The following is a 25520-nucleotide window of genomic DNA, read 5'->3' as shown; positions in this document are numbered from 1 at the left end:
AAGCTATGCCATTTTCTGTAATGTGAAGAATGAATTCATTAGTGAAAGAAGTAGCTTTGAAAATTATGAGGTATTCAATAAAATCTGTACATTTTTCTTTTTCTTTTGGACCACAAGTTTAAAATTGGCTGTCATTTGAAGTTGGAACTGTGCTAAAAATTCAGGAAATTTACACAAAAATGTGGATTTCCAGTTTCTCTTCAAAATTTGGAAGATCTGGCAAATCTGGATTCTTAATCACACATAGCTACAAACACCTGCCCCTAATCCCTGCCATTCCCTATTTTTCTTAACTTCTTATTTCATTTATTTCTGATTGCCCCCAGACACTTGAATTTATGTTCTCTAGTTTAAGCTGTACTGTCTCAAAAATTGATTTTGTCCTTGGAAGACTGTGTGTGTGTGTGTGTATGATTCAATAATTATTTGCTGGAAAATGAAAAAAAAAAAAAGAAAAGGCAAGCCTACAAATCACTGGTAGAGAAACCTCCAAAGGGAGCTCCTTAGAATGCATGGGGTTAGGAGATGGTTGGTAAGAACTCTTTTAGAATTTTTAGTGCCATAGGTTACTATTAAGCATCTTTCTAAAGACCTCTCCTGGCTAGAACATTATTCTACTCTAAATAGCTCAGATTAAGGGAACTATATATACTTTCAGGCGATAGAGGACTACAGATCTCCAAGTGGTCCAACATAGGAGATAGGTAGAATGTAGTGATGTAGCACCAGAGGTGGGGGAGAAGATTTTTAGCTCCCAAAACAATCTCCTTCAAGAATCTCCCCAGGTCAAGATAAGAAGTTGCTTTTACCATTTGATTCAACATAATATTAGAAGTTATAGCCACAGCAAATAGGCAAGAAAAAAAAAAGGCATCCGGACTGGAAAGGAAAAAGTGAAATTAACTCTAGTCCAGATGACATAATCTTATATTTAGAAAACCCTAAAGATTCCACGTAAAACCAGCACTAATAAATGAATTCAGCAAAGTTGCAGGATACAAAATCAACACATATAAACCAGTTGCATTTCTATACACTTAACAATGAACAATGCAGAAAGAAAATAAACAATCTCAGTTTACAATAGCATAAAAATGCCTAGGAATAAACTTAACCAAGGAGGCAAAAGACTTCTACACCAAAAACTGTAAAACATCACTGAAAGAATTTTAAAAAGATGCAAATAAATGTAAAGACCTACCATGTTCATGAATTAAAAAAAGATATTGTTAAGATGACAACACTACTCAAAGCTACCTTCAGATTCTATTCAATCCCTTCAAATTCCAATGACTTTTTTTTTCTTTGCAGAAATAGCAAAATCCATTTTAACATTTATATACAATGTCAAGGAACCCTGAATAGCCAAAATAATACTGAAAAAAAAAAAAACCACCCCAAACGGAATGTTTCACCCTTCCTGATTTCAAAACTTACTACAAATTTATGGTAATCAAAGCAGTGTAGTACTAGCATAAAGACAGACTAATGGAATAGAAAAGAGAGCCCAGAAATAAACCCTCTTCTATATGGCCAATGATTTTCCACAAGGATGCCAAAACCATCTAATGAGAAAAGGACAATCTTTACAGAAAATGGTGTTGGATATCTGGATACTGCAAAACAATATAGTTGGACTCTTACCTTACAGCACATATAAAAATTACCCCAAAGTGGATCAAATATCCAAATACAGGGACTAAAACAAAACTCAGAAGAGAACATACAGAAAAAGCTTCATGACATTGAGTTTGACAATAATTTCTTGATATGACACTAAAAGCACAAACAAAAGCAAAAATAGATAAGTTGAACTTCATCAAAATTAAAAACTTTTGTGGATCCAAGGACACCATCAACACAGTAAAAAGGCCACACAGGAAATGAGAGAAAATATTTCCAATCACATATCTGATAAGGATTGATATCAAGAACTCCAACAACTCCACATCAAAAAAACCTGATTTTAAAATATGGGCAAAAGACTTGAACAGAAATTTCTCTAAAGAAGATATACAAATACAAATAAACACATGAAAAGATGCTCAACATCATTAATCATTAAGAAAATGCAAATTAAAACCACAATGAAATGCCACACCACACTGATTAGGATGACTATTATTTAAAAAACAAAACTAAATAAAAAATAGGAACTGTTAGTAAGGATGTAGAGAAACTGGAACTCTTATGCATTGCTGGTGGAAATGTAACATGGTGCAGCAGCTGTGGAAATTGGTATGCTGATTCTTCAAAAAATTAAACATAGAATTACCATATGATAAAAGAATTTCACTTTGAGGACTATATCCCAAAGAAGTGAAAACAGAGACTCAGATATTTTTATACCCATTTTCATAGTAACATTATTCATAATAGCAAAAAGGTGGAAGCAACCCAACTGTTCATAAATGGATGAATGGATAAACAAAATGTGGCATATATATAAAATGGAATTTTTTTCAGTCTTAAAAACGAAGAAAATTCTGGCATGTGCTACACATAAATGAACCTTGAAAACATTCTGCTAAGTGAAATAAGCCACTCACAAAAGGACAAATGTTGTATGATTTCACTTTAAATGAGGTACCTACAGTATTCAAATTCAGTGAGACAGAAAGTAGAATGGGGGTTACCAGCTGGTGGGGAGGGTAGCATGGGGAGTTAGTGCTTAATGGGTACAGAATTCCAGTTGGGCAAGATGAAGTTTTGGAGACAGATAATGATGATGGTTACCCAGCAATATGAATGTACTTAATGTAGTCTTTGAAGACAGAGAAAACAAAAGCGATTAAATAGAGAGTCATAATAGAGTATTCTACTTTCTGTTGGGAGGAAGGAGGCACAGCTTGCTTAGCAGAAGCTGACAGAGTCAACATAAAAAGCTCCAAATTCTACATTCATATGCTCTTGAGATTAAAATCATGTGTCAAGTAGATAAAATCACGTGTCAAGCACTCCTATGGTAGCCATAGTCAGTCTCTAAACATAATGTCCAATGAAGCATGATTATGTAGTCACCTCCCCTTTAATCAGTCTGGCCCTGTGACTTTATTACCAACAGAATGTTATGGAAGTGATACTGTGTGACTTCCCATGCTAGAATTTTGCAGCTTCCAACTTGGACTTCTGGAATGCTCACTCCAGGAAAAGCCAGACCCCATCTAAGAATTTCAGTGACTTTGAGATCACCATGCTGAAAAGAAGCCCAAGCTAGCTAACAGGACAGACAGCACTGGAGAGAGACAACTGGCTTGGTTCCAATTGTTGTAGCCTTCTCAGCCTAGCACAAGACATGTGACTGAAGAAACCATCTTGGATGTCCAACGAAGTGGAATCTTCAGATAACACCAACCACAGCACAAATCTGAGTGCAAAAGCATGAAACTTCCAAGGGAGAATAAACCAGCTCAACCATTCAACACAGATTTTTAATAAATAAGCTACTAAATTTTAGGGTGGTTTGTTATATAGAAGCAAATGACCAGAATAATAACTGTAAGTCAGTATTTTAAAAACCAGTTAACATTTATTTAGTAGAGATGGGGAGAAATGTTTATGAACAAAAATTGTTTGTTTTCTTCTTTATGTTATTTTAAAAGGATTACATGCATTTATTATATATGCTTTTCTGAAGAATAAAACTTTTTTTGATTTTAGAAATTAGTTTTGTGATATTAAAATCTTCCTAGTAAACAGCACTATGTCATGCATTATTCAGTTTCAGAGTATCAGCGCACTGCAACTGCCAACTTAGGCAACTGTCGTCTTTATGTCTCATGGCTGATAGTGCAGCATGTAACTGCATAAAATAACTTATACCTATGACATTTTTTTAAACAGAGATGTCTGTTCCAGGGATTTTTTTTTGTACTATTGTATTTTTCTTTTAGAGCACTATCTACTTCACTGGTAATGAGAACAATTTACATTTATCTAGTTAGGTAAGGAAGGAATCTTAGTCAGCTGGTATGTATTACTGATTTATGTTAGTGATGTTTCAGTGATACTTACAGATTTGTTTCCTGGGCAAATGCTTTGATGGTCTGTCCTTTAATATGGCTGATATGGAGCTAACTCTACACAACACTGTATATCTGAGAGTTGGTTTGAGAAATCCATGGCTGCCTAGATGTTCAGGGGAATTTGTTAAATAATGAGTTTATAAGCCTTCCCCTATTAAAGTATTTGAAGTTGTTTGGTAATATCTCATATCTGAGTTATCAAAGAAGACACTAAACCTTTATGTCACATGGCAGACACTTGTGAAAACAAGGAAACAAAAGTTATTTGTTGTTTAATATTTCAAAACAGGCAACATGAATTAACAACCATCTCATTGGTACTGAGTGAAATCATGGTAAACTAAATTATTAGCTTGCAAGTAGGGTAAAATCTCAGACCCTTCACAGTTTCTGACTTAACACTTGCTAGAATGGATACAAAGTAAGACCCAATTGCAAATATACACGGGCTGAAGGCAAAAGAATGGAAAAGCTTGAGAAATTTATTTGACTACATTAATATCAGATGAAGTTTTTGACTATGTATATTAATACCAGACAAATTTATTAGAGTGTTATTAATATTGGACTTTAAGAAATGGAGTATTACTAGAGGTAAAAGACAACATTTCATAATGATAGAAAGGTCAATTCATCAGGAAGACACAAAAATTATAAAGATGTATGAACCCAATAATAGACCTTCAAAATACATGAAGCAAACACAGAACTAAAGATAGAAATGGACAAATCCACAATCCTAGGTGCATATTCTAACATCCTTTCTTTGTAACAGAACAACTGGAAAAAAGTATCTGGAAAAAAGTATCAGTAAGAATATAGAATATTTGAACAACACTATCAACTGGGTCAATCTAGTTGATATTTATAGAACAGTAATAATTTATACCCAACAATCATAATACACAGTCTTTTCCCAAGTACATCATAAAAATCTTATGTTGAGCCATAAAAGAAATGTTAATGAATTTCATAAGATTAAAATCTTACAGGGTATGTTTTTGACCAAAACACATTTACATTAGAAATCAATTACGATATCTAGAAAAGCTCCAAATAACTGGAAATTAGAGAAAAAATGAAAACATAGTTCTAAGTAAACCATAGATCAAAGAAAAAAATCTAAAGAGAAGTAAAAAAAATTTTTGAATGATATAAAAATTAAAATACAGCATACTGAATTTGTTAAATGCAGTTAAAAGTGTGTTTGGAAGAAAATTTATAATTTTATTTTAAAATTTTTTGTAGAGAAGGGGGTGTCTTGATTTGTTGCCCAGGATGGTCTTGACTCCTGGCCTCAAGAAATCCTCCTACCTTGGCTTTCCAAAGTTTTGGGATTACAGGTGTGAGCCACCATGCTTGGCCAATTTATAATTTTAAATGCTATACCAGAAAAGGGGAAAGGTTTAAAATCAATGACTTCAGTTTCCACCTTAACAAGATAGAAGATGAGCAAATTTATCCTAAAGAAGAAAGAATCTAATAAAAAGAAAATAAACTGATGAAGTAGTAAGCAAAAAAAAAAAAAATAGAGAAAACATAGACAAGTTGCTTTGGAAAATGTTAAGAAAACTGATAAACTCCTAGCAAGAACAATGAAGAAAAAAAGGGAAAACAAAAATTAATAATATCATGAATGCAAGACAGGGTATCACTACAAATACCTCAGGCCTTAAAAAATAATAGGAGAATATTACAAACAACTTTATGCTAATAAATTCAACAACTTAGGTAAAATGGACCAATTTCTTGTATTTTTTTTTTTTTTTTTGAGACAGAGTCTCGCTCTGTCGCCCAGGCCGGACTGCGGACTGCAGTGGCGCAATCTCGGCTCACTGCAAGCTCCGCTTCCCGGGTTCACGCCATTCTCCTGCCTCAGCCTCCCGAGTAGCTGGGACTACAGGCGTCCGCCACCACGCCCGGCTAATTTTTTGTATTTTTAGTAGAGACGGGGTTTCACCTTGTTAGCCAGGATGGTCTCGATCTCCTGACCTCATGATCCACCCGCCTCGGCCTCCCAAAGTGCTGGGATTACAGGCGTGAGCCACCGCGCCCGGCCAAAATGGACCAATTTCTTAAAAGAAACTACTTTCCAAAACCGACACAAAAGAAAATAAAATATGAAAACCTCTACACATTAATAATTTATAATTAATAAGTTTCCCACAAAAAAAACTCTAGGTTCAGATATATTATAATTTTTTTGTCAAACGTTTAAAAGAGAAACAACAATCATACACAACCATTTTCAAAATATAGAGGTGAACAAAACACTCCCCACCATGTTTTATAAGGCCAGCATAACTATGATTCCAAAACCCGACAACACATTAGAAGCAAAGAAATTTATAGAGCAATATCTCTCATCAACATTACACAAAAATCCTTCACAAAATACAGGTTAAGCATCTCTAATCAGCAAATCCAAAATCTGAAATGCTACAAAATTTGAAACTTTTGAGTACTGACATGAAGACTGAAAGTCTGCCTTTGTTTGCTATTGCTGTTGTCTGCCAGCTGATACAGGTATTCCGGTGATGCTACTGTACTGGTTCATTACCTTGAACACGTTATTTTTTCAATGTGTTAATGTTATCTGTCATATTTTTTACTTTTAAGTACTTAAGTGTGAATAAGTATAAGAAAATGATTGCTTATCAGTAACATATAAATTCAGACTCAGGAATGGTGGTGATGACCAAACAACCGCAGATTGTCCACGTGGTTGACTGAGACAATGACATCTTTGCTTTTTGATGGTTCAATGTACACAAACTTTGTTTCATGCACAAAATTATTTAAAAATATTACATAAAATTACCTTTAGGCTATGTGTATAAGGTGTATATCAAACATAAATGAATTTCATGCTTAGACTTGAGTCTCATTCCCAAGATAACTCATTATGTATGTACAAATATTCCAAAAGTCTAAAAAGAATTAAAATCCACAACACTTCTAGTTCCAAGCATTTGAGATAATGAGCACTCAATCTGTATTAGCAAATAAAATCCAGCAGTTTATAAAAATAACATATCATTACCAAATGAGGGTTATCCATGGAATGTGAAATTAGTGCATCTCACTATATTGACAAAAAAGAGGGAAGTGATATGATCATCAAAATAGATGTAGAAAAAGTATTTGACAGTATTCAATGCACATTCATAAAAATTCTCAGCAAACTAGGAATGAGAGGAAACTTTTTCAATCTGATAGAGGGCACCTACCCAAATTCCCTAGCTAGCAGCATAGTTAATGGTGAAATAGTAAATACTTCCCCCAAAAGGTATAAGGCAAAGAGGGTTACTCATACTACTTCTAGTCCCCATTTGCACTGGAAGTCCTAGAAAGTTCACTGAGGCCAACAAAAAAGTAAAAGCCATATTGACTGGAAAGATAGACATTAAATTCTCTTTATTTGCAGACGACATAATTATATAACTAGAAAATCATCAGGAATATATAAAATAACTCCTGGAACTAATGAGAAAATTTAACAAGTTCTTAGAATACAAGGTCAATATAGAAAAATCATTTGTATTTCAACATATAAGCAACAAACAATGGGAAATGAAATTTAAATAAATTCATTTATAAAAGCATTACAAAATACAAAATATTTAGGAGTCATTAAACAAAGACATGCAAGACTTCTGTACTGAAAACTAGAAAATGCCACTGAGAGAAATTAAATAAACAAACCAAAAAAACCCAAACCAAAATAAAGGGTGGGGGAAAGAGGAGAAGAGATAAGCTGTGTTCATGGATTTCATGGACTGCAAGACTCAATTTTATTAATGCAATTAGAATTGTTATCAAGTCTCTCTAAATTGATATACAAATTCACCACAATCCCACTCAAAACCAGGCAGATTTATTTATAGGGAAAAGTAAAAATACCTAGAATAAGCAAAACTATCTTGAATCAAAACAAAATCAGAGGCTACACACTATCTTATTTCACTATAAAGAAGTGGTTCCCAACTGAGGAGAGTTTTGCCCCTTCCCCCTCAAGTGGATCTTTGACAATGTCTAGAGACATTTTAAATTGTCATGACTGGTGTGTGCTACTGGTATCTAGTGGACAGCAGGCAAGTACTGTTAAACATCCTATACTTCATCCTAAAATTCCTATATGGTAGTTCCCCTATAATAAATAATTATCTCATCCACAATGTCAATAGTACTGCTGTTGAGAATTCCTGCTATAATGCTACAATAATCAAGTCAATGTAGTATTAGTATAAGAGTAAACAGACCAATGGAACAAAATACAGAGCACAGAAGTAGACCCTCAATTGATTTTCAAAAAAGGCATCAAGACCACTGAATGGTGAAAGGAAATTATTTTCCAACAAATGGTGCTGGAGCAACTAAATAAACTTATGTGAAAAAACCACTCAACCCTTATATCATACCACACACATATAATTTGAGATGAATGATAAAACTAGACTGAAAATCTGTAAGTATGAACTTTCCAGAAGAAATCAAGAAGTTATGACCTTGGGGTGGACAAAATGTCTTAGAGAAGACTAACCATAGAACAAACAATTGATAATTGTACGTCATCACAATGTAAAACTGCTCTTTGAAAGATTTCATTAAATAAATGAAAAGGTAAGCCACAGGTTAGAAGAAAATACTTACAATATAAATCTGTGACAAAGAACTTGTACCCAGAATATATATATAGATATCTATATATATATCTTACAATTCAACAAGAAGACGACAAACAACCCAACTTAAAACACGGACAAAATATTTGAATAGATATTTCATTAAAAAACTTATGAATGGCACATCAGGCAAGTGAAAACTAAACTCAATTTATTCTTAGTATATAGCTAAAATTAAAAAGGCTGACTGGGAAGGTTATAAAGCCACTGGGACTCACATGCACAATGCTGGAGGGTGTGTAAAAAAGGTCAGCCCTTTTGGAAAACTGTTTGACATCTTCTTATATGGTTAAACATACACATACCCTAAGACTTACCAATTCTACTTTTAGTTTACTCAGAACAAATAAAAATGTATATCCACAAAAAGATTTCCTACTTATGGATTCTCTCATGTTTTACCATTTTGACTATAATTATCTTTCCGCCAGCAGCTTTATTAGTAGTCCCAAATTAGAATAACCCAATGCCTATCAATATAAGAATGGCTAAATAAATTATGATATATTTTTACAATGGAATACCATTGGGCAATAAGAATGAACTAATACATGGATGAATCTCAACATGAAAAATTAACTCTGATGATAGAAATTATAACAGTGGTTGCTATGAAGGGCAGAGATTGACTGCAAGAGGTTTCAGGGTATATTCTGGGGAATGATAATGATAGACTATGGAGTGTGAAGCTCAGTTTGAACAGAAGTGAGAACATGAGGGATGGGATTAACAGAAAAAGGGTAATAAGATAAATGGATTGGAGGACCTGGTGGGGTCTTAGAACTGTTGAATTCAGGGTACTAGAGGAAGTGGCATGGAAAAATAGGAGATATAGATCAGAGATTGAGATGACTGAAATTGAGATTTTGGAGGTGAAGTAGTAACTGTAAATAGTTGAGGTGATGTGCCATTGAATGCGTGAAGTTCAAGAAAATGACAGACCATTAGGTTGGATGAATGGTCTATGCAGACACTAAAATCACAAAGAATGATCGCTGGAATAATAGTAGGGAGACAAAAAGAGCCAAGTTGCTAAAACTTTCAAGGAATGACACAGAGGATCTATAGATGACTGCAGTAAGGAAAAGTAGGGATAAGCAGTATATTTTGATGGCATGTGCTTGAAGACAGCTGGAGGATTTTAGAGAAAAGGGAGAGCAATAGCCAGAAATGAAAACAAAGAGCGAAGATGATACCTTGTCCTTTGTATCTATCTGTGAGTATCTTCACACTTTCCATGATATCACCTTCCACCTCCCTCTCACATCCTTTATCATAGAGAAAAACAGAAGCTGTAAGCAGAGACCTTATCACATACCGAAAAAATTACTTCATCCATGTTTTCCTCAACTTGGGGTTCTAGGAACAATTTCTAATATAATGACATATCTTCAATTGCTTTAAGTCTTAATTGTTTTGGTGGGGGGGGGGTCTCGGGGGTGAAAGTTTTCCATGTTTACTTTCTTCCCAAAAGCACTGTGCATGTGAGCATTTACATGATTGGCGTTTATATTTCGGATAGAGGGATACTATCAGGGTGCTAGGGACTGATATGGAAAGAAAGTTTTGGAGAAGGCTGCTGGCAAAGTAAGTTTGTCATTACATATAAGGTGACCTGTGAAAATAATAATCATTCATTACAAGTGCTTAGTATGGTCAGGCACTGTAAGTGCTAAGTATTTTTTATGTATTACCTTGTTTTATCCCACAGCAGTTATCTGAGGTAAGCATTTTACAGACAAAAATCCTGAATCTTAAAAAGGTTCAGTAACTTGTGCAAGGCCACATAACTATTAAGTGGAAGAACTGGGAGTCTAAACTAGGCAGCCTGATTCTACCTGGTTTTAAACGAGTATACACTATGTAACAACCTTTCTGTAATTTTTTTCTTCAAAGCACTTCCATCTCCAACTTCCACATGTAACACGAATTTGTTTTCCCATGGAATCCTAAGCTTAACCTTACCATAGGATTTATCTCACTAAATTGTAATTACTTACTTTTCTGCATTGCTTGTCAGACTGTAAGTATCATAAGTTCAGTGTCTGTGTCAGCACATAGCATAGGGCTTGGAACACAGCAGCATGCAGTAGCATTGTGGAATGGAAGAATTAATTGCATTTTAACTGTCTGTCTTTCCCATCATACTCTTCAAGTTCACTGAGTGCAGAGCCTGAAATTTTAATTTCTGGAAGTCCTGTTCCTAACACAATGCTTTGTACCTGGTAGATGCTTAATAAATAATTGTTTAATAAATGTTTGACCATATGTCAACTTCAAATATAATCAGAGCACTTTTAAAAGCAGTTATCTATTATTTGTATTTAATAATGTATCTGTTTGGTATATAACAGTAAGTAAAACAGATACGGTTCAGGCAGGTATTTATTATTTAGTGAGGCAAGCTAACAAAACCAAGTAAACAAAGAATTACTAATTATCATAAGTGCTAGGAAGTAAAGAAACTCCAGTTTGAGATAGGGAGCCAGGGAAACCCACTTTAAATAAGGTAAACAGGGAATATTTCTCTGGATATATTTAAACTAAAAAACTCCAAATACGCAGGGGCAAATCATTTTAAAAATGGGGAAAAAAAGTGCTCTAGGCAGAAACAGTGTGCAAAGGTCCTGAATTGAGAGGGAAAAAAACTTAGCAAGTTTGAGAAATTGAGAAAATAACCACCAATTCAGCAATATTTGGCAATGATGAATGATAGATTTCCAAAGCTAAGAGGTGGTATTTTTCTTGTAATTATCCAAAAGTCATTTTGACAGCAAATTATCATCACCATCATTTCATATTGTTCCACAGTGGCCAGGTTTTCTGGGCTAAAATGTATACAGAAAGTAATAATAATTTCATACAGTATTTTCTGGGACTGTAGAAAATAAAGCCTGTGTTAGGTTGAGCCACACTAAATCAGGGATGGAGTGTCACCAATAAGCAGACATTTCTACTCCTGAACTCAATGATAGGCCAATAATAAAAAGTTTTAATAAGCAATTATAGTGATGATTACTATACTTCTTTCATTACTCAGTGACTATTTACAGAGTTCCTTTTATATTATTCTGTGCCAGGCACTGGTAAATGCTGTGAGAATAGAAGGAAATGGCAATAAAAATGAGAAAGATTTTCTACCATTGTAGAATTCAGAGTTGAGAAAGTACATTTTTGCTTCCTATTTACCCTGGAATTAGTCTTTTTCGCAGAAGAAACACAGTCTGCCTTAGCAACTTTCGAAGGGTCTGTTTAACATATGCAGCTCTGCCTCATGAAACATGTAGAGCACCTTGGCTCAATGTGAGCCATCTCATCAAATGACAGCTATATGCCGAACTATTTGTTCTTGTTTCCTGGGGTCTACAGCTATGGGTATCATTTTCCTCTGTTGGAAATGCTCTTGAGAAGTGAGCAAATAAACATCATGGCAACCGTTTAACAATAGAACCTAGGAAGTAGTATTTAGAGTATCTGTGGTCACAGGAGACAAACATAGAACTGAAGAACTTGCCTTTTGTGATACATTTCTTTCTTCTGGACGGAACGACATTTCAGATCTAGGTAGCTACAACTCTCTAGAAATATGATAATATTAAACTGTAAAGCTAAATATATTTTGAGACAATTAGAAATTAAAAAATTAAAAATAAGGATAAATTGTTCTTCTTGAAAGTTAAAAAAGGCAGTTGGATAAATGGTTTTTAGAAATGAAAAATACCATTTTTAACAAATAATAATGCCAACAATATGCCTATAATAGAACTAAACCCAATAATCTACTGTGAGTTTTCATTGCCTGTCAAAGAAACATGTGTCCCAGATTATAATCCTGTGCTTTCCGAGACATAAAATTATTTGAAATCCTAAAAGAATGTATGAAAACCATATTTTCCAACAGATTGTCTTTCACTTGACTGGAAAAGACGACAAATGAAATGTTGAAAATTACCCTCAATACACTATCACAGGGCAAAACACCTAAACAATAAAGATTCATAGAATTAGTAATATACATCATACAAAGGAAAAATATAAAAGTATCTCATTTCTCTAAAGGTTGAGGTGTCAGTGTAAAGAAACATATCAATTAACTAAAGCTCAAAAATTTAGTAACAAGCTCTCTTAGGTCCTCATTCACTATCCTTAGATTTCAGTTCTAACAAAATCCCTCAATTTAGTAGGTTAAAATGTATTAGAAATATTAAAAAAAAATGTGAAGGAGCTGCTAGAAGGAGAAATACTAACATCAAAAAGACACAAATTCTGCTTCTGGGAAAATGGAGGTAGACATACTTTTTCTATTTCTCCCGCTAAGTACAACTAAAACTCCTGTGCATGATATATACAGTTTGCCCTCCATATCTGTGAGTTCCATATCTACAGATTCAACCAACCCTGGATTGAAAATATTTGGGAAAAAACAATAAAAATAACAATGAGAGGTGAAGCCAGCTGGGCCTCTGGGTTGGGTGGGGACTTGGAGAACTTCTCTGTCTAGCTAGAGGATTGTAATGCCCCAATCAGCATTCTGTAAAATGGACCAATCAGCACTCTGTAAAATGGGCCAATCAGCACTCTGTAAAATGGACTAATCAGCAGGACATGGGCAGGGCCAAATAAGGGGATAAAAGCTGGCCACCAGAGCCAGCAGGGGCAACCCGTTGGGGTCCTGTTCCATGGTGTGGAGGTTTTGTTCTTTCACTCTTCATAATAAATCTTGCTGCTGGTCACTCTTTGGGTCCGCACCACCTTTAAGAGCTGTAACACTCACCGCGAGGGTCTGCGGCTTCACTCCTGAAGTCAGCGAGACCACGAACCCACCAGAAGGGACACAACAATACAATAAAAATAATACAAATAAAAATATAGTATAACAACTATTTACATAACATTTACACTGTATTAGTTATTATAAGTAATCTAGAGAAGATTCAGAGCATATGAGAGGATGTGTGTAGATTATATGCAAATAGTTCACTATTTTATATAAGAGACTTGAGTATCTGTGGATTTTGGTATCCCTGGGGGTCTTGGAACCAATCACCAGAGATACAAGGGGCAACTACGCCCTCCCCAACACACACCCATAAGAAGAGTCTGAGAAGTGAAGAAGAGGAGGTCAGCAGGCTAGGGACCCTGGCGCCTGAGAAAGGACATGGTGCTTAAGTTCTCTGGGTTTTCTTTTTGTTTCGTATATCCCAGACTTGGAGCAGAAAAAAAACTTGAAGCCTGGAAGCATCAAGCTTAGACAAAAAAAAAAAAAAAAAAGTCCTAACTAAAGCTTGCTCTCTCTAGCCTCAGGATAAGGAAAAGATCAGCTTAGCTAGACAGAAAACTTAGGCAAAAATCCTGTCACTCCATCCAAACACCACAGAAAATTGTGGTTCCACTCCCATCCAGCCAGAAAAGACTGAATGGAGAGCTTAGATTTCTATCCTTGCCTCCCTTGTAACAATGTGCCCTCAACCCTCCTGTAGGGATGGTGTCAGAGAAGCTGAGTAGAACGCCTGGCTTTCATCTCCACCTGGTGGTAAAGTGGTCTTCTCCTCATCCTGGTATTAGTAGAGACTATGTCGTGAGTCTGGATTTTCACCTACCCAGCAGGACGAAGTGCCCTACGCTCTCCATAGTTGGTGGTATCTGAGGAAGCCTGCAGAGAGATATGACTTTCACTACCATCCAGCAGTAATAAGGCCACCTCCACTGTGGTATCAATGGAGACCACGTGAGAAGCTGGAACTCCTCCTCCTGCTCAGCAGTAATAAAGAACTGTCCTACTTATCTAGTGTCCACAGAGGCTGAGTGATGAACCTTGGCTTCTACCTCCAACTGTCTGTAATGAGGCTGCATCCTTTCTTCCCCTGCTAGAGCAGTGTCAGGGAGAATCAGCTAAAGTTTAAGGTTTAAATAAGTCACAGAATCTCATAATAGAGTATGAAAATGTTTGGGTTTCAATAGAAAATCACTTGTCATTCTGAGAACCAGGAAAGTCTCAAACTTAGCGAAAAAAGACAATCAACATATGCCACCATCAAGATGACAGGAATGTTAGAATTATTTGACAAACATTTTAAAGCAGCCATGATAAAAATGCTTCAATGAGCATGTTTGTAGATGAAAAAACAGTCTCAGAAAATAAATAGAAAACATAAAGAATCAATATAAAGAAGAATCAAATGAAAAATTTAGAATTAAAAAACGCAACAACTGAAATAAAAAACTCAGTAGATTTATTAGGAGATCCAACATAGTGAAGATGTCAGTTTTCCCCATCCCACATTGATATACAGGTATAATGCAATTCCTATGAAACTCTCAGCAATAATTTTTGCAGGTTTAGATAATATTATTCTAAATTTCATATTCAAAGGCAAAGATTAGAACACCTAAAACAATTCTGAAAAAGAATAAAGTGGGAAGAATTAGCCTACATGATTTGAAGACTTATTATACAGCTACAGTAATCAAAATTGTGGGGTATTGGTGGAGGAAGAGACACAAAAAGAACAGAATAAAGAACCCCAAAATAGATGCATACAAATATGCTCAACTGATTTTTGACAGGGTGCAAAAACAATTCATGGAGGAAAGGTAGCCTATTCAACAAATAATGCTGGACCAACTGGACATCTGGAGACAAAACACACCCCCAAAAAACTATCAAACAAAACCTCCAAACTTTGGTACACATCTGATACTTTATAGAAAGATTAACTAAAACTGGATCACAGACTTAACTGTAAAACATAAAACTATAATATTTTGAGGATAAAACACAGGAGAAAATCTTCAGAACCTAGGGCTACGCAAAGAGTTCCTAGACTTTACATCAAAAGCAGAGTCCATAAAAAGAAAAACCAATAAGCTGAATTTCATCAAAATTCAAAACTTCTGCTCCGGAAGAGACTCTATGAAGAAGATGGAAAAATAATCTCCAAGGTAGGAGAAAATGTTTACAAACAACATATCTGACAAAGGACTAGTATCTAGAATATATGTAGAGCTCTCAAAACTCAATAATAAAAGAGCAAACAGTCCAATTAAAAATGAACAAAAATGTAAAGAGAATTTCACTAAAAGAGAACAGATGGTAAATAAAATATGAAAAGATAATCTGCATCACTAGCAATTAGGGAAATACAAGTTAAAACCACAATGAGATATTACTGCATACCTATCAGAATGATTAAAATAAAAAATAGTGACAATACCAAATGCTAGTGAGGATGAGGAAAAGCTGGATCACGCTTATACTCTGAAAAACGGCTGGCAGTTTTTAAACACACTAAATGGGCAACTACCATATGACCTAACCAGAGTACTCATGGTCACTTATCCCAGAGAAATAAAGGCTTATGTTTATACAAAAACCTGTATGTGAATGTTTTTATCAACTTCATTTATAATAGACTGACATATCATGTCCTTCAATGGGTGAATGGTCAAACTCTGGTGCATCCATATCATGAAATAATAATAATAATAAATATTCAGCAATAAGAATGAAAAAGCTACTGATACACACTACAACTTGAATGAATCCCAAAGAATTGTACTGAGAAAAGTCAATCCTCAAAGGTTATATATGGTATGATCCCCTTTATACAACACTCTGGAAATGAAAAAACTGTAGAAATGGAGAACATCATATTAGTGATTTCCAGGGGGTGGGACTGGGAGAGAAGTAGGTGTGGCTATAAAAGGACAACACTTGAGGGATCTTTGTGGTGATGGAACTGTTCTATTTCTTGACTGTAAACATATTATTATGCTAGTTGTGATATTGTACTATATAGTTTTGCAAGATGTTATCATTGGGGGAAACTGGGTAAAAGGTATATGGAATCTCTCTGTTTTATTTTTTACAATTGCCTGTGAATCTACAATTACCTCAAAATAAAGAGTTTAATTTGGTTTAATTTAATTTATTATTATTATTTTTAAATGGAGACTCGCTCTGTCACCCAGGCTGGAGTGCTGTGGCATGATCTCGGCTCACCACAACCTTTGCCTCCCAGGTTCAGGAGATTCTCTTGCCTCAGCCTCCTGAATAGCTGGGATTACAGGCATGCGCCACAATGCCCAGCTAATTTTTGTATTTTTAGTAGAGACGGGGTTTCACCAGGTTGGCCAGGCTGGTCTTGAACTCCTGACCTCAAGTAACGCACCCACCTTGGCCTCCCAAAGTGCTGGGATTAAAGGCGTGAGCCACTGCGCCCAGCCAACAGTTTAATTTTAAAAAGAGAAATTACAAGAAGATAGATAATCCTCAATGCAAGAACTCACCAAACTTAACTGTTACAGGCTACTTATTATAGCCTAAATAAAGCTTAATAGCTCAAAGGCAGTACAATAATATAATGGAGGAGAATATTTAATGCTCATAATAATGATTGTAGGGCATGAAGAAAAGATCAAACCACTTTTATCATAAACTATATGAAAGATTATAGAAATATGCATTGTATTTTAGAAAAATTTATGTTAAAATGTGAAAATAAAGTTTTCATAATCTACAAGAATTCCATTTCTGGCAATGCTGTTCATGCTTCATCTATAATTAATCCTTGACTCCTACTGATCCTATCTACTCCATCCAGTTCCACCTCCATAGCCATCTTCTTGCCTAGAACATTATAACAGCTTTCTACTTTACTCTTTGCCTCCAGCCTGTTTTCAATTCATCCTCTGCCCCTTTGCTATAATGAGCTAAAATATAAATCTGATCATGACACTCCTCTGATTTTATTCCTTCAACAGCATCTTTGATTTCTTTAGATTGGCATAAAAGTTATTTCATAACGTGTACTATCAACACTGTAACTTCCTCTCCTGATACTCTTCCACATATTCCCATGCATCAGCCACATACAACTTTTGTCGTGTATTTCATAACATTAGGCTTTTTCACATATTGTTCTCTCTAAATAAAACATCTCCCTTCCTCTTCATCTTCCCTGGCTAACTCTTGGTTAACTAATACGAGAGACTTTGTTCTTCCAGGAATTCTTTCTTGTCCTTTAAGTCTATGGCATGTGCTTCCATAGAATCTCGTAAGTGATGCTATTGTAGTACTTACTGCATAGCATTGCCATCTTTTATTACTTCACTATCAGTAATCTGAGGACAGAAATCATGTTTTTTATTGTTTTATCTTTCGGAATATGAAACCTTGGGGTTTCCTAGTAAATATTAGTTGAGTGAATAAATGACTATCTTACGTAACAACATTTTAAATAGTCAAAGATAACTTCCAAATATCCAAATTTTCTTTAATATAGTATGGATGGCTGGGCACAGTGGCTCATGCCCGTAATCCCAGCAGTTTGGGAGGCCGAGATGGGCAGATCACTTGAGTCCAGGAGTTCGAGACCAGCCTGGCCAACGTGGCGAAACCCCGTCTTTACTAAAAATACAAAAATTAGCCGGGCATGGTGACGGGCGCCTGTAATCCCAGCTACTTGGGAGGCTGAAGCAGGGAGAATTGCTTGAACCCAGGAGGTGGAGATAGTGGTGAGCCGAGGTCACGCCACTGCACCCTCTGCCTCCTGAGCTCAAGCAATTCTCTGCCTCAGCCTCCTGAGTAGCTGGGATTATAGGCACCCGCCACAACACCTGGCTAGTTTTTGTATTTTTAGTAGAGACGAGGTTTCACCATCTTGGCCAAGCTGGTCTTGAACTCCTGACCTCGTGATCCACCCACCTCAGCCTCCCAAAGTGCTAGGATTACAGGTGTGAGTCACCACGCCCGGCCAGATAATTGCCGGTAAACTTTTCTAAAGTTTACTGGTAGAACAGATTAACAAAATAAATTCTTTTCCTGACATAATGTTGAATCATTTGTGCTCACTGAATTCTCCATGTTGAGTGAATAAATGCCCATTCACGTATTTACCAAAAGATAGTTCTGGTTGGTGGACTGAAAAAGCAGGAAATAAGCCAGTTTATTTCCTTTCTGTGTGTGTATCTCAAAATTCCTTGGTCTACAAAGAAGCATATTAGAAAGTAACTTGAGGATGTACTCCAGCAAACTAATGGAATACAAAGAACAAACAAACAAAGGGATGCTATGAGAGGCAAAAAATTATGGCTCCAACTCCTAAGAGCAATAAAAGAAAGTTCTGGGATGCCAGTTGTGCAATAGGCCTAAAAGATAACCAGCATCTACTGGAGCCGGAAACAAAGGGGACTTGGAGGGAAACAAAGGGGACTCCATTGTATAGATACTGACTGAGAGAATGGAAAACTTGAGGATGTGATAAAAGCATACAATGCAAGAAAAATATTGGCTAATAGAAATGCAATAAATAATAAGAAAATAAAAATGTGTGTGATTTAAAGCAACTAATGAAAATAAAGAGAACTTGATGCTAGGAACATTTTCCTTTGACTTCTGCTGGACACATAACACTGACAATGTCAATGTATAACTGACAAATGGCAGGAGACTGTCTCTACCTGAAGAAAATACTATTTAAAAAAAAAACCCAAAACCACCTATAATCCCAGCACTTTGGGAGGCTGAGATGGGAGGATCACTTGAGGTCAGGAGTTCAAGACCAGCCTGGCCAACATGGCGAAACCTTGTCTCTATGAAAAACACAAAAAAATTAGCCGGGCACGGGGGTGCGTGCCTGTAATCCCAGCTATTCGGGGGGTTGAGGCAGGGGAATCGTTTGAATCTGGGAGGCGGAGGTTGCAGTGAGCTGAGATTGTGCCCCTGTACTCCAGCCTGAGTGACAGAGTGAGACTCCATCTCAAAAAAACAAAACAAAACAAAAAACCACACACACACACACACACAGCCCCAAAACAACAACAAAACAAAAAAATCCTCTGTGACCACAATGTAAGTGGACAGCATAAACTTAAATGATGTAAAGTATAAATTGATAGACAATGGCATGGTTAAGAAGACCATAATCATAGACAGCTTCTGAAATTCGGATGTGCACAAATAATTCAGCCCCCTTATAAAAGGTGAAATACAGAGACAAATGATTAGTGTTTTAAAAGAAATGTTTATGTATCTTTACATTGCACTTTAGGGTAACGGAAAATAAAACACAATAATATTGTATTGGAAAATGTCCTGCCTCTTAGAATTTTAAACCAAGATTTCTTTTCTGTTATTTTCTACATAAGAATTCTTACATTTGATGAGAGAATACAAATAGAAAATTTATTAATAAAATTCCATAAAGGCTTGCTATTAAAGTTGATTATTGTAAAATAAACAACTGATAAACATTAATAATAAAAAATAAGAAGTCCTATGTGTCAGACACTGATATTTTTACATGTATTCTCAAATATTCCACTTTATTTCTACCCTTTCTGCTCTACACCAAAATCCCTTGAAATAGATGTAATTAATTCCAATCATAAATGAGAAAACTGAGGCTTAAAGACATTAAACAGACATCCTTTAATTCATAGAGCTAGTATTTCCTAGATCTCTGACTCCAAAGTCCATTACTCTTTCAACATATGATTATTCATCTTTACTGAACACCTGTCACACGCCGTTTATAGATGCCAGGAGCCCAAAGGTAGGAGAAAAGCAGAAACCTATGCATACAAAATAAAATTCTAAATTTCAGTAAATAATTTCAACTACATCAGACAATAAAAAAGTTAATCTGAAGAGAAACATAATGCCAGGCAAAAATTACAGGTAAACAATTTTTTATTCCCCAAATGGGATTTGTTAACATATGCCCAGTGATGTAGTTAATAAAGTCTAGGGATTTTCTGCTATTCATATATTGTAGAAATATGGACAAGGTAGCAAAAACAACAATTAAAAAATGGCATAACTGCTCTGTCTCAAAAAAAGCCTAATATTTAAAAAACATCCTGAAAAATGTTAAGCAGTGATTGAACAATTTGTACTTTTTCTTTACTATAGTTTCTAGTTTACCCTAGAAAGCTCCTTTTTCTAGCATTCACTTATAAAACATTTCTACCACTTCTACTGTTATTCATATTGCTACCATTATTCATATTTTTCCAATTTTTATACCATTATTCATATTTTTTCCAATTTTTCAGATTGAACGAATGAAAAGTGGCAGATATAGAAAAATTATATAGAAGTGAATAACAAATTAAACTCAAACTATATACCAAAAGACTAAATATTAATTGGTAATTTTAAAATCATCATGAAATCATGAAATGATACAAAAAAAGAAGATAATACATTTCATAGTCATTTTAAGAAGTGTATATGACAATGCAATAAGCTGTTCTATGACAAAAAAAGACTGCTACTGTCAGAGACCTAGATAATACACCACCACCCTTGTGCTTTGGGAAGGAAAACAATAATAAAATTTACAAAGCCACACAAATCTTGATCAATGTTTCACAGATAACACTGCCATGACTTAGTTTCATAAAGTGCTACAAAGTAGAGAAACTATTACTTTATATTGACTTTGAATTTCTATACTTCTGAATAAAGTGCAATTACTTACTTTTTTCTCCGATTTGACTCCACAAAATATTTACGTGCTCGATTTCGACATATTTTTTGTTGCTGCAGTAATATCTGGCGCTCTTCTTCTAAATTTTTCTCCAGATGGATTTTCATATCTCTAATGATAGCATTAAGTTAAGAACAATGGTCTACATCTTTAGTGGATGACTGTCAGTGCTATATGATAAATATAACTACAGCCTCATGCAAATGATGTAATGATAGTTTTTGTGGAATAATTAGTATGTGCCCACATTAGTATATGACTGGCAAACATTTTATGTAAAAAAAATTCGGGGCTGGGTGCGGTGGCTCACACCTGTAATCCATCACTTTAGGAGGCTGAGGCAGAAAGATCACGAGGTCAGTAGGTCAAGACCCGGCTGGCCAACGTGGCAAAACCCCGTCTCTACTAAAAATACAAAAATTAGCTGGACGTGGTGGTGCATGCCTGTATTCCCAGCTACTTGGGAGGCTGAGGCAGGAGAATCGCTTGAACCCGGGAGGCGGAGGTTGCAGTGAGCCAAGGTTGTGCCATTGCACTCCAGTCTGGGTGACAAGAGCAAGACTCCATCTCAAAAAAAAAAAAAAAAATTCTGACTTGGTATTAGAAAGTAAGATATAGCTCACTTTTCCTGGAGAAAAAAAATCTACTTTTAGAAATCATGAGCTCAGGCTGGGCGCGGTGGCTCACACCTGTAATCCCAACACTTTGGGAGGCTGAGGCGGGTGGATCACCTGAGGTCAGGAGTTTGAGACCAGCCTGGCCAACACGGTGAAACCTGTCTCTACTGAAAACACAAAAATTAGGCGGGCGTGGTGGCGGGTACCTGTAATCTCAACTACTCAGGAGGCTGAGGCAGGAGAATCTCTTGAACCTGGGAAGCAGAGGTTGCAGTGAGCCGAGATTGCGCCACTGCATTCCAGCCTGGGCAACAAAAGCGAAACTCCATCTCAAAAAAAAAAAAAAAAAAAAAAAAAGAAATCATGAACTTCAGATAAAGAGGACTGTATATCTTCATTCATTACACAGTTTTTTTTTTTTTTTTTTTGAGACAGAGTCTCACTCTGTTGCCCAGGCTGGAGTGCAGTGGCATGATCTTAGCTCACTGCAACCTCTGCCTCCTGGGTTCAAGTGATTCTTCTGCCTCAGCCTCCCAAGTAGCTGGGACTACAGGCATGTGCCACCACACCTAGTCAATTTTTGTATTGTCAGTAGAGACGGGGTTTCACCATGTTGGTCAGCCTGGTCTCGAACTCCTAACCTCAGGTGATCCACCTGCCTCGGCCTCCCATAGTGGTGTGATTACAGGCGTGAGCCACCGTGCTTGGCCTCATTACACAGATATTTGAGTACTTACTAACAAGTTGCCCTCATAGTCATGAATATAAGAAAATGAAATAAGAAGATTGTATTTTACTAATAGAAAGTAGATGGAGTAAATGTTTCACCAGATCCCTTAATCTATAGTAGGAAAGTACATTTTCAAATATTAAACAATCAAATAGCAATATAACTAGAATGGTTAGGAATACAGTTTAGTTATTTACTTAGTGACTTAGTGGTTATAAAAAACCACTAGGAAAACTATGTATAGTCATCTGTGTATCCAGAAGCTTGTCAGAGAAAAAGAGGAATATTTTGGTTATCCTAATCATCTATTCACTTGAAATTTATTTTATAAAATTAAACTCTCCTTAAATAAGTTGTAGCAATATGAGTAATTTCTCCAATTTATTTAGTTGCGTTTTAATTGACATTATTAAGTATCTTTATCAAATTTGTCAGAGTAATTTTCTGTTTTTCATGAGTCTTCTGTTTTTAATGATTTTGAATTAAAAGAAGTTCATTTGGCTGGGCGCAGTGGCTCACACCTGTAATCCCAACAATTTGGGAGGCCAAGGTGGGCAGACTGCTTGAGCCCAGGAGTTTGAGATGAGCCTGGGCAATATGGTGAAACCCCGGCTCTACAAAAAATGCAAAAATCAGCCAGGTGTGGTGGTGTATGCCTGCAGCCCCAGCTACTTGGGAGGCTGATGTGGGAAGATCGCTTGAGCTTGGAGGGGGTTGAGTCTGCAGTGAGCTAAGAACACGCCACTATACTCCAGCCTGGGCAACACAGCGAGACTCTGTCTCAAAAAAAAAAAAAAAAGTTCATTGAATTACCGTGTAATCACATTTAGTACCTCATCATTAGATGTAGAAATATATGAGATTATACTGAAGTTATAGATTGTAGGGCATATCTATTTGTCTTTTTTAGAACAAACAGCTTGTTTAAAAACTTTTTACGCTAAGATGGAGGTCCAAAATTCTCTTTAAAGGCTGCATTTAATCAAGATTGTAAAAATCTCATAAATTGATTATTAATGGTAAAACAGAATACTAGAAATACACTCAATAATAAACTATGCGGTACATAATTTGTTAATTCAACATGTTAATTTCAGGATCCTATAGTGCTTCAGCATCAATATTATAAAGAAACTCTATTATTACATATTTCAGAATAACAGGTTTATTTGAACATTTTGTTGTTTAGACCTTTGCTGATGGGGGCTTATTTGTTTTCTTTTGTGTTGCTATTTAACCATCTTTATACCATAGGCCATAATTCATTTTACCTTCATTTTAAATAAAATTTTACACTACTTCAAGACAAAGACCCAAACACACTCACAAACATATTTTTACTTAAAGATTTCTTTTAAAGGATTTATAAAAATCAAACCAAAAGGGAAGAAAATTTGGTTCTTTGCTAGCACAGAAAAACTGTTTTTCTCTGATAGAATATTTTAACAAGAGCCAGACTTCAACAAGATGTCTAGGTATTAAAAGTGACAACTCGGCAGTAAAGAAAAGTGCAACTTCCTTTCAGGGTGCACAGGGCCAACATGAGGTTGAGGGGAGGAAGATGCTTTGGCTTAAGTGAGAAGCAAGGAGGAGACAGTTCTGTTCTCTGTTTGACATGTTTGAAGTCTCATCACGACAGCATAAAGAAAATCACAAATGTAATGTTTGTAATGTTCTGACAACTATATAGTCTTCAATTTAACCAAATGATTTTCTACTTTCTTTATATATAAGTATAATAGTATAGTATGTTTCCTGCTGAATTATTAATTATTAATATAAAGAATCCTGCTGCTTTTGTATCATTTCAAATATGGTATTCAAGTTTAAAAAAATTAGATGGCTGGTTAAATTTTGTTTTTTTATACAAGCTGTATGGTAAAGGTAGGAGTTCCATAAAAAAAACACTGCTAAATACCTGTCCAAAAGAAGGGAATTTTTATATACTTAACATTAAAAAAACAAAACCAAGAATAATATGTATTGTAACATGTGATTTTAAAGCATAGCTTATTCTACCCCACTCTATCCTCACTTCTCCTCTCCCAACTTAGTCTTTTATCCAGTTAGGTTGTTTAAAATGTTGCCATCACAAATAACTATGTATTATATAACCCATTTTTTCCCCAAATCTATTAAAGCTATGTTGATTCGATTTTTCCTCTACTGTACCTTCTTCCTCTCCCTTAACTCAGGTACTCTAAATCCCTTGCTTGGACGACTACAGTGCTCCTCTAATTCTTCTTACTCTAAACCTCTATTTGAACCTACACAAAGTCAGCTAAATGCAAATCTGATTGTGTTTCTCTTTGTTGTTCTCCAAAAGCTCCCTATCACCTTCATGAAAAATTCCAAAGTTCTTGGACCTATATATAAACCATTCTATAATATAGTTTGTTTTTTCAACTTTATTTCTTAACATTTCCCTGTATGAATCCTATGTCCAGACGCACTAAGATAATTATAAACAGAACAACCCGTGATGTATCATACCATTATCTCTTGGCACATGCTTGGCTAACTCTACTCATCCTTTCAGGGCCATCTCAAGCAGTTCGTTCTACCTTGAAGCCTTTTCTAACCTCCACTAGATGACTTGATGACACCTTCATGAGTACATGATAAGTGTCTTCTCTACATTTCTGTAACTCTCACGCCTGGCATGGTTCTTAGAATATAGTAATGATTTAATAAAAACCTCCTGAATTATTCCCTTGGAGAAAATTCTCTGGGGTAGATATGAGGACAAAAGGCATATGCATTTTTATATCTTTTAGTGCATTATAGAAAACTTGGCTCCTAAGGGGGTTATACAAAAGTATATGCCATTAGAAATGTATTATGTACCTAAGTTTCAAAATCTCATGAGCATGGGGCAGTACCTTTTAGAAACACAAGGTACAAAACTATGTTTTATTATGTATGTATTAGCAAAATACAATTTATTTATTTATTTATAGACAGGGTCT

The 25520-nt window shown here is 35.5% G+C and overlaps 1 protein-coding gene across 2 annotated transcripts in view; it reads right to left on the bottom strand.

Moving 5' to 3' along the window:
• The window catches only part of CEP126 (centrosomal protein 126), an 86053-nt gene that overhangs the window by 57107 nt on the left and 3426 nt on the right, over positions 1-25520 (bottom strand). For both annotated transcript variants that reach the window (NM_001363543.2, NM_020802.4), the window contains exon 2: positions 21196-21315. Coding sequence is in view for 1 of the 2 variants with exons in the window: in NM_020802.4 (NP_065853.3) it covers positions 21196-21315 (120 nt within the window). In the remaining variant the exon portion in view is untranslated. The remainder of the gene's footprint in view (positions 1-21195; positions 21316-25520) is intronic.

Source organism: Homo sapiens, chromosome 11 (assembly GCF_000001405.40).
Source record: "Homo sapiens chromosome 11, GRCh38.p14 Primary Assembly".
Taxonomy (NCBI): Eukaryota; Metazoa; Chordata; class Mammalia; order Primates; family Hominidae; genus Homo; species Homo sapiens.
This window is presented reverse-complemented; position numbering and strand designations above follow the sequence as displayed.